General features: G+C 42.8%; 1 pseudogene; it reads left to right on the top strand.

The window, feature by feature from the left end:
• Nucleotides 1-850: 850 nt before the first annotated feature.
• FAM21FP (family with sequence similarity 21 member F, pseudogene) overlaps nt 851-18,225 on the top strand; it is a 23,867-nt pseudogene continuing 6,492 nt past the window's right edge.

Raw genomic sequence — 18,225 nt, 5'->3', positions numbered from 1 at the left:
TTAAAACACACACACACGCGCGCGCGCACGCACGCACACACATACACACTTTAGAACTTGGAACTTGGTTGGTAAAATTGAGGCGAGCCAATTACCAAACTTGGATTTTATGTAACACCATCATGGGTAACTTCAGTGGCCACGAACTTAACACCCTTAATCTACGTCCCACACCCTGGAATTTATCACTGAAACATTGTGACTCCAAAATCTGAATTTCTCCTGAATAGAGTAGCCCATTTATTTATTTATTTGTCTGTTTGGAGACAGAGTCTTACTCTGACGCCCAGGCTGGAGTGCAGTGGCACGATCTTGGCTCACTGCAACCTCCACCTCCTGGGTTCAAGTGACTCTCGTGCCTCAGCTTCCCAAGTAGCTAGGATTACAGGCGTGTGCCACCATGCCCAGCTAATTTTTGTATTTTTAGTGGAGACAAGGTTTTGCCATATTGGCCAGGCTGGTCTTAAACTCCGGACTTCAGGTGATCCACCTGCCTCACCCTCTCAAAGTTCTCCGATTGCAGGCGTGATTCACAATGCCTGGCCACAAACTGTTTTTCAAAACAGTACAGTATAGTGAGTAAAAGCACTAGCTTATGCAACAGGTTGGTTTTGTGTGCTGCAGCTAACCTCAAAGTTGTAAGGATTAAATTAGATAATAAAGTGCTTTTAGTAACATGCCTGGCACAGTTCATTGATTCAAACATTGAACAAAATTTTTTTTTTGTTATACATACTACTGTGTACCTTTGGAAAAATTAGAACTTAACAGATGAGGCTAAGTTTGAGCCTTCCAGTACTTTCTTTCTCTGCATACTCTTCAGAGGTAACTGGGATCATGCTCTGGGAGCATGTCTTTCCACGTCTTTTTCTTTGCTTTTATAAATATATCTGTTTCCATAGAAATGCTTGTATGTAGAGGGGGCGCGGTATCGTGCTGGATTTGTTATTGGCACTTTTTTGCTTGACCTACCTTGGATGGCTCTCTAATTGTTACAGCTTTTACCTTTTAACTATTACTCAGTATTCTTACTAAGGTAAGACTATACTGATTTTGTTTATATTTCTCTAGTAATAGGCCAGGTGTGGTGGCTCATGCCTATAATCCCAGCACTTTGGGAAGCCAAGGCAGTTTGATCACCTGAGGTAAAAAGTTTGAGACCAGCCTGGCCAACATGGTGAAATCCAATCTCTACCAAATATAAAAATTAGCCAGGCATGATGGCAGGTGCCTGTAATCCCAGCTACTCGGGAGGCTGAGGCAGGAGAATCGCTAGAACCCAGAAGGCGGAGGTTACAGTGAGGCGAGATCACCCCATTGCACTGCAGCCTGGGCAACAACAAAATTACTCAAAAATAAAAAAAGTAAATAAATAAAAATATTTCTCTAGTAACAGACAATTTTGATATTTTAATATTTTGCTTTTTATATTCTTGTGGTTACATTCTTATTAAAGATTGCATTTTTATTTAGATTTGAAGTAAATCTTGTGTATTATTTGTTCCAGCACATCTTTTGCTTTATAACTTACTGCATCGTGATTATGATTATTATTTTAAACAGCTGTTACGATTTTGAAGGAGGAGCCTAAAGGCTAAGTGGCAGTATCTCTTCTTTAGCTTAATAACTAGTAGTTCTAATTTGGTATTTTATACTCTTAGCACATCACACAAGTGAGTGATGAGGAAGAGGATGATGATGGCTGTGACCTTTTTGCTGACTCTGAGAAGGAGGAGAAAGATATTGAGGACATTGAAGAAAATACTAGACCTGTAAGGAAGGCTGTAGTTGCTATCACTTGGCAGGGTTTTAGAACCAATGACTTTTTTTATTTTTTATTGTGACTTACTTTGTACATCTCTCATTTTTGCATATTTGTCATTTCATCTACACTTTGGAAAATAATGGCAAGCATCTCAAATTGCCTCACAAGTACCACTTTCTTGTCCAGATGTTATGATTTTATGAGTCAGATCATTCAGAATATGTCTGGTTCCAGAGTTTGAAGACCATAGTGCTCCTGTCTCCCTGCCCATGACCTTTTTCTTATTTTCTTATTTAGATTTTTAAGTATTAAAGTCAAGTATTAAAAAAATAAGGAAATAAAGAGCATCTCCCTTTGAAGGAACATTTTGAGTCCCATTCCTTGGGTGAGCTGTATAGGGTACATATGTTTAAGTTCATTTAATTAAACTCAGTTTTCTCCTCAGTTCAATTTCTTTGCTCTTGTATACATAATGTTGTTAGGTGTCCAAAGTGAAGTGTACTAGTTTGTTACAAAAAAGCGATTCTTTTGATTTCTCCTGCTGTAGAAAAGAAGCAGACCTACATCGTTTGCAGATGAGCTGGCTGCCCGCATCAAGGGGGATGCCGTGGGCCGAGTGGACGAGGAGCCGACAAGTGAGCCCCAGCCGCGTTGATGGGGAGTAGGGGAGGGGTAGTGCAGGGCCCTCTGCTGGCTTCACCAAAGGCGGATTTCTCTTTTTATTAGTAATTACCACATATATTTATTAGTAATTGCTACATATAATTTAAATTGTAGTGCTTATTCCTTTTTTGGTTAATGAGCTCCTTTAGATAACTGAACACTGTGGACCCACAAGAAAAACGTACATGTACACATGTAGATAACCCTTTACATATAATTTCAGGGGACTAATGGAAACTCCAGAGAACCATGGGCAACAGCTTAAGAATTCCTGGCTGAATATTTACTCCTATATTTTGAACACGTAAGAATGTGCTATATAGCATATTCTAGTTATAAGAGAGTAGAAAGATAACATAATAATTCTTTCAACAAATACAATCCTGTTATGCACATGAGCCTGGGATGAAAGCAGAAGCCTTCTGCCTTACAAAGAGACTCTTGAGTGCCCACTGTGGGCAGGGCAGGGGGTTCAGTGCAGCTGAGATGAAAGGCAGATGTCTTGCTCTTAGCTGTGAGTTATGAGGATGACAGACGTGGAAAGAACCAGGATGCGTATACTGAGGGAGGACTTAGTACTATTAAAACTGTGAACTGTTCTTCAAGCCTTACCCTCAGGAGAAGCAAAACTTCGGAAGACACTCAAGAGAAGAAGGAAAGGAGAACTCCTTCGGACGGTGGGCCTTTTCCCTCAATTCTGTTATTTTAGGAGGCTTTGACTCGGGAATGTTGCTTACATAATTCATGAAGTACTGCTTTACATGCTGTTTTCCTTCTGACAAATGGGTCTGTCTCCATTTACTTTTCTAAAGCCTCTGGGCTGGGCGTGGTGGCTCCCGCCTGTAATCCCAGCGCTTTGGGAGGCCGAGGTGGGCGGATCATAAGATCAGGAGTTTAAGACCAGCCTGGCCAACATAGTGAAACCCCATTTCTACTAAAATACAATAAATTAGCTTGGCATGGTGGCGGGTGCCTGTAGTACCAGCTACTTGGGAGGCTGAGGCAGGAGAATCACTTGAACCCGGGAGGCAGAGGTTGCAGTGAGCCTTGATCGCGCCACTGCATTCCAGCATGGGTGACAGTGCAAGACTCCATCTCAAAAACAAACAAACAAAAGCCTTGGAAGGCATGTTTTGGGGTGCTGGGAGGATATGTGGGTGTGGAGTAAAAATTCCTGTAGAGATTTGATTTATTAGATTTTACAGCAATCATTTCTTGTCTTTCTAGAATTCTTTAGAAATATAGAAACTTAGGGATCTCTAGCATTTGTTTTCAATAAAGGATACACCAGGCCTTTTCCTATTAAACAGCCATGTCCATTACATTCCACTTGTCCCTGTGTCAGTCTGCAGGTCCCTTTGTTTATTCTGCCCTTCCTTCCCCCAGATTGGTTGGGGAATGGGTCTTGAATGTGGCATCTGACCTGAATGCTTGCTTCAGAGTAAATCTAGATCCAGGGTGCTGGCCTAGAGAATGAATGCTGTCTGCCGCAGACATGGACAGACTTGAGAGTGGAGGCCCAGAGAGTCTTTTGAGGGTGTCAGTGGACTGTGCCAGGGGGTTAGTGTGAAATTCGTCAGACTGCCTCACACTTCGATAAAGAGGGTCAGATAAACTTCATGCCAGTTTGGAGACATTGCAGACGCCAACCCAGGAATTTGAGTTCCGGACCCGTCTTTAATACTCCTTGCAAAACATTGCTTTCTGTTTGCTAGATGAAGAGGATAACTTATTCGCACCCCCCAAGCTGACCGACGAGGACTTCTCGCCATTTGGCTCTGGAGGTGGCCTGTTCAGTGGGGGCAAGGGGCTCTTTGATGATGAGGACGAGGAGGTGAGTCCATGGCACTCAGCAACACTCCCTGCAGCTAGCTGTGTCAGGGGTCCACAGGGAAGAAATAGGCTTTGCTTGTTTAGTGGGGAAAAAACAGTTTCTCAGTTGGAAGTTGCTTCTATTTTCATATTTTGGGACATTTTGAACTAAGAATCACAGAGTGAGAAATGCCGTATCCTTCTGTGCTTTGTTAGGTGAGGAGAAGATGTGCACGTGTTAATGTGAATAATTTACTAGGTGATTGTTTCTTGCCTTATCTGTTGTCTTCCACGTTTGTTTTTAATTCCTGGACAGGCCTAAATTATTTTAGGGTCTGATTTTGCCATAGTTATCACTTTGCAACTGATTTTCTGGCAGAGTAGTAAATATGTAGCTTTAAATCTTGTAGGTTATTTTTCCTTAGGAATCCTCACATGCAGCTATGCTTTCTCCTGGTTTTTTGAATTCTTTGTCATATACCTTATTTCAACCAGAGTGACCTCTTCACGGAAGCCCCCCAGGATCGGCAAGCTGGAGCCTCTGTTAAGGAGGGTAAGCTGGGGCTGGGCAGCTGCGTCTCCGTGTGCAGAGTTCCAAAACTGTCTTTCTCACTAGGAGATGGAACCCTGAGGTTGTTCCCAAGCCTTGTTTCTGTGTTAAGCAGGAAGCTGTTGTTTTTACTGCGGTCCAGTTGAAAGTAATTCATCTTCACTAATTCATGTCTTGGAAAAAACAGTACCACCGGTAAACCCATACCACAGTCTTGCCTCTTTGTTAGGAGAGAACTCATAAAAAGTCAGACAAGAAAAGTACCCTAGAGCAATGTTGAGGATGATTTTCATTGAATGAAGTTTAATTTAAAGAAACGTTTTTAACATTCTGTATATAAGTTGGAGACCAGTAATTCCCCAACCCAGTGTGCATTAAAATCATCTGCACAGGTTTTGTTTTTGTTTTTGTTTTTGTATTTTTAGTAGAGACAGGGTTTCACCGTGTTGGACGACGGTTGGACAGGCTGGTCTTAAACTCCTATCCTCAAGTGATCACCCGCCTAGACCTGGCAAAATGCTAGGAATACAGGCATGAGCCACTGCACCTGTCCCATTGGTGCAGTTTTTAAAAAACACAAATATAAATATGTTTTTTAACCTACAAATGTTACTCCATAGGTTTGTGGTAGTTCTTGGGACTTGGGAATTAGTGATTCTAAGTGCCGAGTCTCCCGGGCACAGGCATCAGAGCTGGGCCTTGGAAGCCGCTCCTTGTGCGTGCTGTGCGGGCTCCTCTGCATTCTGCTGTCCACGTTTTGGCATCAGTGACTTGCTTGGTTTCCCCCTTTGCTCTTATGTCTTTATTTTTTTACTGATGACTCACATGTTTTTGCTGTTCTTTTTCACTCGTTCATTCTCATCCAACTGGAATGGGTAGAGGTGGAACTGTTTGGGGGAGCCCCGGTCATGCTGTCCCTGCCTCTGCCAGCTGTGCTCACCTCCTCCCTTGGTGTCCCCCAGCTGACCCACTGCTGTGGCTTGATGACGGTCAGCATGCTCTTCCATTGGAGTCACAGCTGAGATTGTATCAATCCCCCCAAAAAAGTCCTGATGTCAGTAGAGAAGAAAATACTAAAGAATTTTAAAATGGCTTGTTCAGGAAAAAGTAGTTTCAAAAGGTCTGGTACTAGCTGTGTGTTACATTGCACATATTTCAGGAAGAAAATAGCAAGGAAAGTTATTTCCCTTGTAAAAATGGTTATCCCTTGCTTTCTCATTCTAGAGTCTTCATCATCCAAACCTGGAAAGAAAATCCTAGCAGGAGCTGTTTCTGTATTTTTAGGTAACATAACAGGTTTGTTTTCTAAAAACTACACAAATACTGTTTTTTCCATTTCAAAATTATCATCTTCTAAAGCCTGGCTGGAGATGAGGAAGTACCTGGGAGCTTCAAAGGGCTTTGAGCAGCGTATAGAAAGAGCTCATTTACTGATATTAGCTCTTATTCTCCTAGAGCTCAGTGGCCTTGGACTTTTTTGTGTTTGAGTGACCTGGTGATTCTCCATTGTGAGATGTTCTGTAGCAGTAATGGATGGAGGCTATTGGGCCCTGTTAATGCATTTTGTGGATTAACTGAAATGGAAAGTTTTTGGTGGGTGATAATTTTTTTCTGTAAATTCAACAGGCCCACACTGGCTCACAGCTGTGTCTGTCTTGTCCCTTCACTCACAGGAGACACGGATGTGCTGCCTCCGTTCCATCACTGAAGGAGCCACAGAAGCCTGAGCAGCCCACTCCAAGGAAAAGCCCCTATGGTCCCCCTCCCACTGGCCTGTTTGATGATGATGATGGTGATGATGATAACGACTTTTTCTCGACACCCCACAGCAAACCTTCCAAAACAGGTATTTGTTCCTGCCTCTGTGTCTAGGACTTCAGCCAGAAAAAGAATGTTGCCTAAATGGAAGATAAGCTCACCTAGTTCTGTATCTCTTATAGTACCAGAATCCCTTCCCCAGCATTCCTGTCATTGAGCTGTTGTGTCTGTACTTACGTAGGTGTGGTGCCTGGGAGGTCTGTTTTATGACCCAATCTTTTCTGCTCTGTAAGCTAATTACTATGATTATTTTCCTTATAGAGAGCTGAAGTCTTTATCCCTATAATTTTTGCTTAATTCGCAGTTCTGACCTTTGGAATTATAAAGTTTTAATCATACTTTCTTCCAGCTGACCTTAGTCAATTACATGAGCAGCATTTTGTGTGCTGGCCGTTTAGTTCCCAGCTTCTCTTCTCTCTGCCAAAAAGCTCAGGTGGCCTTGGTCTTTCTTCACATGATGGGGTTTTCATCCACTTGGCCACTCCTTTCTTTTTGGCATTCTCCTTTCTTTTTCCTCTTAAATGTAAGTCCTGTGTTCCTGAAGTCATTCCTGTAAATCATTTGTTTTTAAATGCGCAGATGAATCTCCCAGAGGCTTTTGTCAAAATGAAGATTCCGATTCAGTAGGTCCAGGGTGGGGCCTGAGAATTTACATTTCCAGCAAGCTTCATGGTCTGTAGATCACACTTGGAATAGCAAGACTTAGATCCATTGACTGCTCTTCCAGAAAAGAAAGGTAGATCCCTAGATCCCTAAGTTGCACATGATTTTCAGCAACTTTAAAAAATAAAAAAGGATGATATAGGAATAGATGGAATCAGAATGCATTTAGAAGCAGACTGTCTGGACTTACTGTCCTTTTCCAGTGTTAGGTGTAGAAAGTAAGGATGGAAGCCAAAGCACGAGGGAAAACGATAGCCTAGTTAATCTAGAAAGAGTGCAAACGGATGCAGAATGCATGCAGGTCTCGGTGAAGATGACAGTGAATGAAGGTAGTAGTGCTTTTTGTAGCTCCACAGGGCTCTCACTTAGTGGATATCTTTGAGAACTGATTTAGAATCACTAGTAAATTGATGCTGCTTTCTTTGACAACTCCTAGTCTCTTCAGACATTCATGAGTCAGTGACCTCATTTCAGCAACGCATGCCCCATTCGGTACAGCAGTGTTTACTGTGGTGAAAATATTCATCAGTAGAGTAAGCGATGGCCCTTCTATTCAGTGGAATATTGTGCGACTGTTAAAACGAGTGGGGTCTACGCTTGTTGACTTGGGAAGGTTTTATAGGTACATTAAGTGGAAAATACAAATGGTAAGACACATTGTTCAAATTACCTTCTTATTTATAGCCTTATTTGTAAATAACTAGTGTTAACTCATTAGTACATCCTTTGGGGGAATTGGAAGCATGTATGCTGAACTGTTTCCAATGTCCATGTTGTTCGAGTAGGCAGGTGGAATTATGAGGGAATTTCATTATTTGCTTTTATCTGCTTTTGTACAGTTTGATTTTTTTTTTTTTTTTTTTTTTTTTGAGATGGAGTCTTGCTCTGTCACCCAGGGTGGAGTGCAGTGGCGGATCTCGGCTCACTGCAACCTCCGTCTCCTGGGTTCAACCAATTCTCCTACCTCAGCCTCCCGAGTAGCTGGGATTACAGGCGCCTGCCCCACACCCAGCTAATTTTTGCATTTTTAGTAGAGATGGGGTTTCACCACGTTGGCCAGTGTGGTCTCAAACTCCTGACCTCACGTGATCCACCCGCCTTGGCCTCCCAAAGTGCTGGGATTACAGGTGTGAGCCACTGTGCCCAGCCCAGTTTGATTTTTTTAAAGCAGGAGCCCAGCCTTCATTTCTCAGATTCCTTAGATGATTGACTTGGTGTTCCTCTTAAGTGATCTTTCTTCCTCTAGATCCCTCTTCACCTTTTAAGTTAGTCCAAGCTTCTCTAACCGCAGCAGGAGACTGCTGCTTGGATAAGCATGTCAGCTGCATGGTTAAACTATTTGTTCTGTCTTTCAACTGAGCTGTCAATACACTCTTTGAAAAATTTGAAGGGAAGAGTATAGTTCCACTTACTATTTCTTTATAAGTAACCAAGAAACAATGTAACTTTCATATTAATCTTCGGGAGGGAAGAATTTTTTATTCTATGAATTTTGTGGTAGGATTTTTTGTGGTAGGATTTCCGGCCTTATTGTAATTTTATGCCTTGGTATTTAAAGGCAAAGTCCAATCCACTGCTGATATCTTTGGTGATGAAGAAGGAGATCTGTTCAAAGAAAAAGCCGTAGCATCGCCAGAAGCCACGGTGAGTCAGACAGATGAAAATAAAGCAAGAGCAGAAAAAAAGGCGAGCAGGAGGGAGGACTTAACGCAGGAGCATTGATCTGCAGCATTTTAATAATTCATCCGGAACCCAGAGGGAAGTACTGTTCCCTTTCACGTTCATATTGAAGAACTTCAAACAGAAAGTGGAAAGAACATTGCAGTGAACACCCAAATAACTGCCACCCAGATTGATCAGTTCTTAGGGTTTTGGCAAACACTTTATGGATGTAAACCTTGTTACATATCTATTTTTTTCCTGAACTATTTGCATGTAAGTTGTTTGAACTGTTTGCTGCATGGAACTGTTTCCATGTAGTCATTGTGACATTCTACCCCTAAATATTTCATTAAGCCTCTCTTGAAAAGACTTCCATATAAGCACAATGCCATTATCAACAGCTGTGAGACTAACAGTAATTCTATAGTAGAATCTAATATCTAGTCTGTATTAGAATTGCTCCAGTTGTCCCAGAATGTCTTTGTAAAATCACCCCAACAAATAGAATACAGATTTAAAATTATCTCACATATAGTTTATATTGTAATTTCCTCTCTTGTCCCCAAAATGCCATTTATAGCAGCGGTCCCCAACCTTTTTGGCATTGGGGACATTAGGAGAGTGCAACTTGCAACCTAGATCCCTCGCATGTACAGTTCACAATAGCGTTTGCCCTCCTATGAGAATCTGATGCTGCCACTGATCTGACAGGAGGAGGAGCTCAGGCAGTAATGCTTGCTGCTCACCTCACCTCCTGCTGTGCGGCCTGGCTCCTAACAGGTCATGGACTGGTCTGCAGCCCAGGGTTGGGGACCCCTGCTTTATAGTATTTTTGTGTATTTTGATTTTTTTTGTTTTGTTTTAAGAAACCCAGGATTCAGGCAGTATGTCTGCATTGCATTTGGTTGTCCTGTCTCTTTGGTCTCCTTAATCTAGTGCAACACCTCCCACATCTTTTTTTTTTTTTTTTTTAACGTCCAGCCACTTGTCTTGTAGAATGTGTCGCATGAATTTGCTTGATTATTTTTCTATGAATTGATTCAGGGTGAGCAGTTTTGGCAAGAATACAAGCAGGCAGGGTTGTGCACTTCCAGTTGGATCACCTCCCAAGATACATCAGGTCCACTGTCTGCCTCATTCAGACACGTTTGTCACTTGGTTGTTAGGGTGCCCACCACACTGCTTCATTGGAAAGGTACCCTGTTCTCTTTTGCCATTGCTAAGTTGATCTCTAAAGTGATAGCTGAACAGTGTGAATACCTGTTCTCTCCCAGCCTTTTACTCAGTGTTTTGAAAATCCACTGATGATCTTTTCCTGAATCAGTTAACCTGTTAGTGGTCATAAACCACTGCTTTTTTAATTCTATATTTCTTATTAGTTGGTATCTTCTGAATAAAGAGTTTCCTCGTCCTCTGCTTCCCTAATTTTTAGTGTTGCTTTGGGATCATGAATTCATTCTTCAGTGTAGATGATAATCCATTACCATCATTCCTCTTCTTCCTTTTTTTTCTGAGACAGGGTCTTGCTCTATTGCCCAGGCTGGAGTATAGTGGTGCAATCACAGCTCACTGCAGCCTCAACCCCCTGGGCTCAAGCGATTCTCCAGCCTCAGCCTACCAAGTAGCTGGGACTATATGTGCACACCACCATGCCTAGCTAATTTTTGTATTTTTTTGTAGAGACTGGGTTTGACCATGTTGGCCAGACCATCATAGTTTTTGGTGCTCAGATTGACCTGCATTTGGCCAGTGTGTGTGTCCCCAGCAGTTTTTAAGCCCTTTTGACTGCTTGACCTTTCACTGCTGTCCTGTACAGCTGGTCCCTCCTCTTTCTACAGTTTGTCTCATCATGTCATGTCCTGGCTGTGAAACCCTGACTTTCTCCTGCCGACCCCCTAAGGCCCAGCATTCAGAACCTGGTAGGCCTGTCAGGCAGCCTGTCTTTCCATGCTGTCTCTCATTGCATATGTCCCATCTGTGCACCCATTGACCCAGACTGTGTGTCCTGCTCCCTGATACACCAGATGTGTCCTCTGTTTGTCTTGCTGTTCTCCTAACAGCCCCCTCGGCTTGCTGCCTATCACAGCAGAGACTCCGTGCATTTTCTAAATGGTTGATTGAGTAAACACTCTTTTCTGGGTATCTTATTTGTTAATGCTTAATTTTTCTTTTTCTTTTCTTTTCCCCCAACAAAGGTTACCTTACCTTCCAGCAAAAATCTCAAGCCCTCGTCAGAAACAAACACTCAAAAAGGCTTATTTTAGGATCAGGAGGACTCTGAGGTATGGTATTCTTTTCCTTAGTTGTGGGTATTAGTCTATGGATATGACATAGAAACTATTTCTGAATCAGGTTTTTCTCAGCAGAGTTATAAGACTTTTCGTTAAGTACTCCAGTTCTTTAAAAATTATCTCTAGAGGTCAGGAGCGGTGGTTCATGCCTGTAATCCCAGCACTTTGGGAGTCCAAGGCAGGTGGACACCTGAGGTCAGGAGTTCAAGACCAGGCTGGCCAACATGATGAAACCCTGTCTCTATTAAAAAGACAAAAATTAGCTGGGCATGGTGGTGCGAGCCTGTAATCCCAATTACTCAGGAGGCTGAGATAGGAGATTCACTTGAACCCGGGAGGCAGAAGTTGCAATGAACCGAGATCACGCCATTGCACTCCAGCCTGGGCGACAGAGTGAGACTTCGTCTCAAAATAAATAAATGAATAAAAAATAATCTCTTGAGAGCACAGGGGTTTTAGAAAGCAATATGTTTACAATACTTTTCACTTTTGGGTTGGACTGTATTTACGTTTCCTGGGATGAAAATACTCTCTTTTTAGGATGCTCAGATTGTAAACTGTTCATGGGCTCATGATGTGATGAGGAGCTTGCACCAGAGTGGAGGTCACCATGCTACTTCCTTTATTCACATTCTCACTAACTAGACCGTGGCTTAATGCTGTAGCAGATGGGTTCTGGCATAGCCATCTGTCTTGTCGAGACTGAGACCACTAACAGCCTGTGGGACCCTGGTTCACAGGTTGCTTTGGTCCCTCCAGGTACCTTAGAACCACCTCTCAGAATTTCACTGCTTTTCCTGAATCTCTCAGGCCTAGGTCGTCTTAGATCTAATTTTAAGTTGGCCTTTTAGGAGATCGGAGACCTGTATGAGAAATGTAATGGGAAATAATAAGCCCCTTTTACAGAAAAACATGTGGACATGGCAGAAACTTACATGTATTTCAAGAAACTGTGGGCTCTAGGTTAGGCTGTCATGGTTGGGCTTTGCACTCACAGCAAGGATGAACATGGAACCCTTTGGAAGTATAGTGATTGCCCTTGACGTAAAGAATACCTTTGAGGCTATTATTTCATTGAAGGCGAGTGTACAAAACATGGCAATTAACCAAAGTCCAGTCAAGTCACAACCCTGACCCCTGAGAAACAGCATGATGGGGCCTCCACCGTCTTATGCTCATGGATCCCCTGTGTCACCCACACCTGCACCTCGGGGTCTTTGCACCGGCCCCTGCCACTCTGAGGAATGCTGTTCCCAGAATCCAGCTTTCTTCCTCACTCTTCGATTTCTCTGTGAGGCCTCGCTGATGAAATACACACAACAGGAAGCCTGCTAGCACATACCACGCTGTGCTCCTGGTCCTCTTTCCTATTTCACTGTTTACCACAGCACGTGTTGCCAGGGACAATGTATATTTACTTATTCATTGTCTCTACTTCCCACTAAAGTAAGTGCCACAAGGACAGGACTTTTTATTCCCTGTTTGTATCCCCAGCACCCTGTCCTTAATACCAGTGCTTGGCATGTGGTAAGCCATCCAGTAATTGTTGATTAGACAAGAAAACCAAATGTGAGCAATTTCAGTGACTTACGAGATGTTCTGGTTATTTGTTGCTATGAAACAAGTAACTCCAAAACCTAGTAGTTTATAACACCAGTAGTTTTGTTATCTCATACTTCGAGAGTTTGACTGGGCTTAGCTAGGCCGTTGTCACTGAGGGTCTCTTGTGTCTGAAGGTGGCTGGGCTGAGGGTCAGCTCACTCATATGTCTGGTACCTGGGCACTGGGGCCCCTGGGACATCTCTCACTAGCCCTGTGTGGCTCCCAGCATGTAGTCAGGGAAGCCGGTCCTCTTACATGCTGGCTCAGGGCTGTAGGGGAGAGTCCTCAGAGAGAGCCCAGTGGAGGCCATGTTGCCTTCTGTGTTCCAGCCTTGGAAGTCAACGGTGGTCCTTTTGCTTCATTTGTTGGTCAAGATGGTCACAATGGCCCATCCAGGTTCATGGGGAGGGGCCATAGGCTCCCCTTCTTGATGGTGGGAGTGTAAATGTACTCTCAGACTTGTGTGAAAACCCTACCAAAGGCTTTGCCTCATGTGTGTCATCATAGAGTGAATGTTTTTATTGGATATTGTTCAGATTCTGAGGCAAGGAGAAGTAAAACTAAGGCAGTCTAAGTAAGAGTTAAAGCTTTGGACCCAAAGGAATGCGTCCTGACTCCTTTCTCTGTATCTCAAGTGTGGGGCTGAAGCTTGCCCTGTGAAGTCATTTTAGGGGAACATATTTGAGGTAATGGAAGTGTCTTTTTTTGCAGTACCAATAAAAGTATTAGTTAAGGGTCCAAAACTGTGATGTTGACATTTGTTTTTGTTCTTTGCTTTGGTTTACTTTCATTTTCTTAGAACAGCAGAACCCTTTCTCTTGCCATTGTGTAACATGCAGGAGGGACACGGGATGCCTGGAATTCCCCTTGTGGCCTCTTCTATCTAAATAAACCCATGGGACTCCGGGGAGCACAGGGGAAAAACACTGTGTGGAGGAGATCTCACTTAGTGAACTCATTAGGTCTATGTTTGAGGAGTAGACATCAACCCCATGATTAAAAAAAAAAAAACTGTCAGAAGAGGTCTTAGAAAATATGTTCTTGTCCTATTTAATTGTTCAGCTCTTGTGTATTAATGTTTCTCTTCCCAAGGGATTAGATGTCCCATTTTATGTTTCTACTTCATGTAGCTCAATTTGTAGGTCTTTCTTTGCAGGATAAGCTGATGTCTTATAACGTTTTGAAAATTTCTTTATTTTTATATTTTTTACTTTTTTGAGACAAAATTTCACTCTTTTTGCCCAGGCTGCAGTGCAATGGTGGGATCTCGGCTCACTGCAACCTCCGCCTTCCGGGTTCAAGCAATTCTCCTGCCTCAGCCTCCTGAGTAGCTGAGATTACAGGCACCCACCTCCACGCCTGGCTAATTTTGTATTTTTAGTAGAGACAGGGTTTTGTCATGTTGCCCAGGCTGGTCTCGAACTCCTGACCTCAGGTGATCCACCTGCCCCAGCCTCCCAAAATGCTGGGATTATAGGTATGAGCCACAGTGCCAGGCTGAAAGTTTATTCAGAATCTAGCAGGTCTTATCCTGGTTTGCAACATCATATACTTGTAGTAAAACTAAGTAGACTATCAAACATTTACAAATAAAAATTTAATTTGTATTTATTTAAAAGAAATAAGTGGGCTGGGCGCGGTGGCTCAGGTCTGTAATCCCAGCACTTTGGGAGGCAGAGGCGGGCGGATCACGAGGTCAGGAGATCGAGACCATCCTGGCTAACACGGGGAAACCCGGTCTCTACTAAAAATATAAAAAAATTAGCCGGGCGTGGTGGCGGGCGCCTGTAGTCCCAGCTACTCAGGAGGCTGAGGCAGGAGAATGGTGTGAATCCGGGAGGCAGAGCTTGCAGTGAGCCAACATGGCGCCACTGCACTCCAGCCTGGGTGACAAAGTGAGACTCCATCTCAAAAAAAAAAAGAAAGAAAAAAGAAAAAGAAATAAGTCATAATCTTAGGAAAGAAGGGTGTTACGAAATAAAATAGTTGTAGGTCCCTTAATTTGGGAATCTAGCTCCTATTTCTTTATTGACCCTGTCTAATTTCTGATTCTTTAGACAGTAATGGGAAGCCATTCTTATTTATTTATTTTTTTAGCATGGTGTAGGAAATTGATTCAAAAACTTATTCCTGCCTTCTGTCATTCAGGTGGGAATACAGAAGCCCCTGGGCTCTGCGAGCCCACCAGATCCTGTAGCTCTCCTCCTCCTTAGCGCCACTGCACACACCCTGCACAGACCCTGAGGCCTCCTTTAAGGACTCTGTCTGAGCCACCTTCCCTCTCAGGAAAGAAGCCTAGACACATGGCAGCTGTCATGTCTGAGTCACTTGTGTTTTATACTGACCTGATATTTTAAAAACTGATATTCCTGTTAACCAGCAACTTTTTAATTTCAATCCAACAGGATTTGTTTTCTTCTCAAAGTGCGAGTAACTTAAAAGGTGCGTCTCTGCTGCCTGGCAAGCTCCCCACGTCGGTTTCCCTGTTTGATGATGAAGATGAAGAGGTAAACATTGTTATTGTAACACTAGATAATTTAGATTAGGAGAAAACGGTTGTTGATGTAACTTTCTACCCAGAGGCTCATATACTAGCAAAAGGTGGTAGGGAAGCAGTCAGGCTACCTGAAGTTTATATAACAAAAATATTTCTGTTTTTATTTCAGTGACTTCTTCCTTATATTTTCCTAGCTGTGCAATGGAGAAGACATTAGATTCTTGACGCAGTTCTTTTTTTTTTTTTTTTTTTTTTTTGAGATGGAGTCTTTCTCTGTCACCCAGTCTGGAGTGCAGTGGTGCAATCTTGGCTCACTGCAACCGGGTTCAAGAGATTCTTCTACCTCAACCTCCCAAGTAGGTGAGACTACAGGCGTGCACCACCACTCCCGGCTAATTTTTGTATTGTTAGTAGAGACAGGGTTTCATCATGTTGGCCAGGCTAGTCTCAAATTCCTGATCTCAGTTGATCTGCCTGCCTCGGCCTCCCTAGGTGCTAGGATTACAGGTACGAGCCACCGTGCCTGGCCTCTTGACACAGTTCTTATGGAGTGAAATCTACAGGTTTTATTTTTAGAAATCTTCCTTTGAGAAATACAATTGACCCTTTAACAGTGAGGAGGTTGTTTTGGCTTCCACATTGCAGTGAAAAATCCATATATAACTTCTTACTTCCCAAAAACTTATCTACTGATACCTTACTGTTAACCAGAAGCCTCATGGGTAACACAAACAGTTGATTAACCTATAAATAGTATAGTATCTATTTATATATTTTTGTATTCCTGACATATCTAGCATTTCCTTATTTTTTTTTGATATTTCTAGGCTAAGTGGTTTGTCTGCAAGATTTTTCAAATTGTTGCAAATGCCAAAAAAAATTTTCAGCATATTACTGAGAAAACATTTGTGTAGAAGTGGACCTGTGCAGCTCAAACCTGTGTCATTCAGGGTGAGCTGTACTTTAGTCTAGAGGATGGATCAACATATACCCAATGACCTACAAGAATGTTTTGGATCAAGTGGAGATACAAAGGAGAAGGCAGCCATGTCCTGACCATTGTCTTTCTTTCCCATCCTGGCTGGAGAGAGCACAGTGGGGAAGAGAAATAAGAGAGAAGACAACCCAAACCTTAACTCTCATGCAGTACTGGGCGGTGGTGAGCTCAGAGGCTTTGCCATCAGACCCCTGGGTTCATATCCCAGCTCCACCACTTGCAAACCAGGAACCTGGGGCAAGTAACTTAACCTTCCTTAAGCTCATGTGGCTTAACAGTGAGTAGGGTCATTGTGGCAGCTGTAACTACTAGTGTGAAGCTCATGCAGAGTGCCGGCACATAATAAGTGCATAGTGAATGTGAGCTCTGTCATTAGCATCCCCAATGGACACCAGCTCATTATTCTCCTGGCCTGTCCTACATTACCGCACTCTCCTTAAAGGAGACTTCATCCAGGAAGACACTCCCTTCATCCATCTTCACATTCCAGGGCTGTTCACCTGCTGTTAAGAGTTTGTCCATCCTAACTCAGACTCAGGCCCTCTGATGCTTTTGTTCCCCTTATCTGAATAAAAGCACCTTAATAAATATAACTTTTGGGGAGTGCTTGACCACAGAAGAATTTACAAATGCCATTAAACTTAGTACACCAGCAATTTTATTTAGTAAGCTATTTCTCCACTTTGTATAATCTCTTTGAAACTAATGAGAAACACAAGTCATGCCTTCCCTCCATCCCAGGTGTATGTCTTTCTGACCTGTAAAGGAGTGGAGACAGACCCCCAGTTCTCTCCTTTCAGCCATTGTTCTGGTTTCTCATTTGTGGAGACAACAGTGTGAGTTTCTGGCTGCTGCGGGGGCTCCCGTGCCCATCGCAGGCTGTAACCACCTGAAATGAGCAGAGAGGCACTTGCCCACAGGGCGACTGGATGGGGCTCAGTTTCTCCTTGTACTTCATGATCTCATTCGCATGTTGTTCTCCTGCTTATTCACAGCTGTTCTGCCTTCGAGTTCTATGGTAATCTCTTTCCCTTCTATGGGTGCAGTGAGAAAAGGCTGTAGTTTGGGATTTACTAGCATTTTGTGGTTTTTCCTCACCAGAGTTGTTATTTGTATACCTGACTGGAGACTTACTTCCTTAAAGTTTGATATAGGAGGACATCCTATGTTTTCTGATTATAAAGTTGTCTTACCTTTCTGCCATTTGCTTTTCTAGGATAATCTTTTTGGGGGTACAGCTGCTAAGAAGCAGACATTGTCTCTACAAGCTCAAAGACAAGAGAAAGCAAAAGCCTCCAAGCTCTCCAAAAAGAAAGCATCTGCCCTGTTGTTCAGCAGTGATGAGGAGGTGAGCTGAGGTTTCTGCTAAAGAAGAGGGGATTATTTCATGGGATTTAAGAGTTAGAGCCACCCCAAATATTTTCTTTTTCTACCTGTTTTATATCTCGTGATGTTCAGTCACCAAAGGCGATGTTCACAAGATTGTCTTTTCTGAAGGAAGACATTTAATGTAATATATTAATTTAAAGATGAATCTCTTCAAAATGGTTAGGAATAAGTATGACTCCCACACAATAGTGTATGCTCCTTCAAATGAGTTAGGCCGGCTAGGGGGGAAATGATTTCTCAGCCATCGCTAGGTTCATGGTCGAGTCCCTTAGAACAAATGACAGATTAACCAGAGAAAAGTGTGCAAGTTTACGTAAGATAAGTTTTACCAGACACAGGAGCCTTCAGAAAGAAAAACTCAAGAGAAACAGGAAATCCTGTGTCAATTGGATGCTGTCTGATGAAGAAGCGGACAGTTTTGGAGAAGCACGATTAGATGAAAGGGGTGTGACCTGAAGGGAATAAGCTGGGGGAGCTCAGCAAGGCCTGTGTGGTCAGATCATTCTCTGCATCTTT

Source organism: Homo sapiens, chromosome 10, assembly GCF_000001405.40.
Source record: "Homo sapiens chromosome 10, GRCh38.p14 Primary Assembly".
NCBI classification, from domain to species: Eukaryota; Metazoa; Chordata; class Mammalia; order Primates; family Hominidae; genus Homo; species Homo sapiens.
Note: the sequence above shows the minus strand (reverse complement) of the source record. Positions and strands in the feature narration are given on the sequence as shown.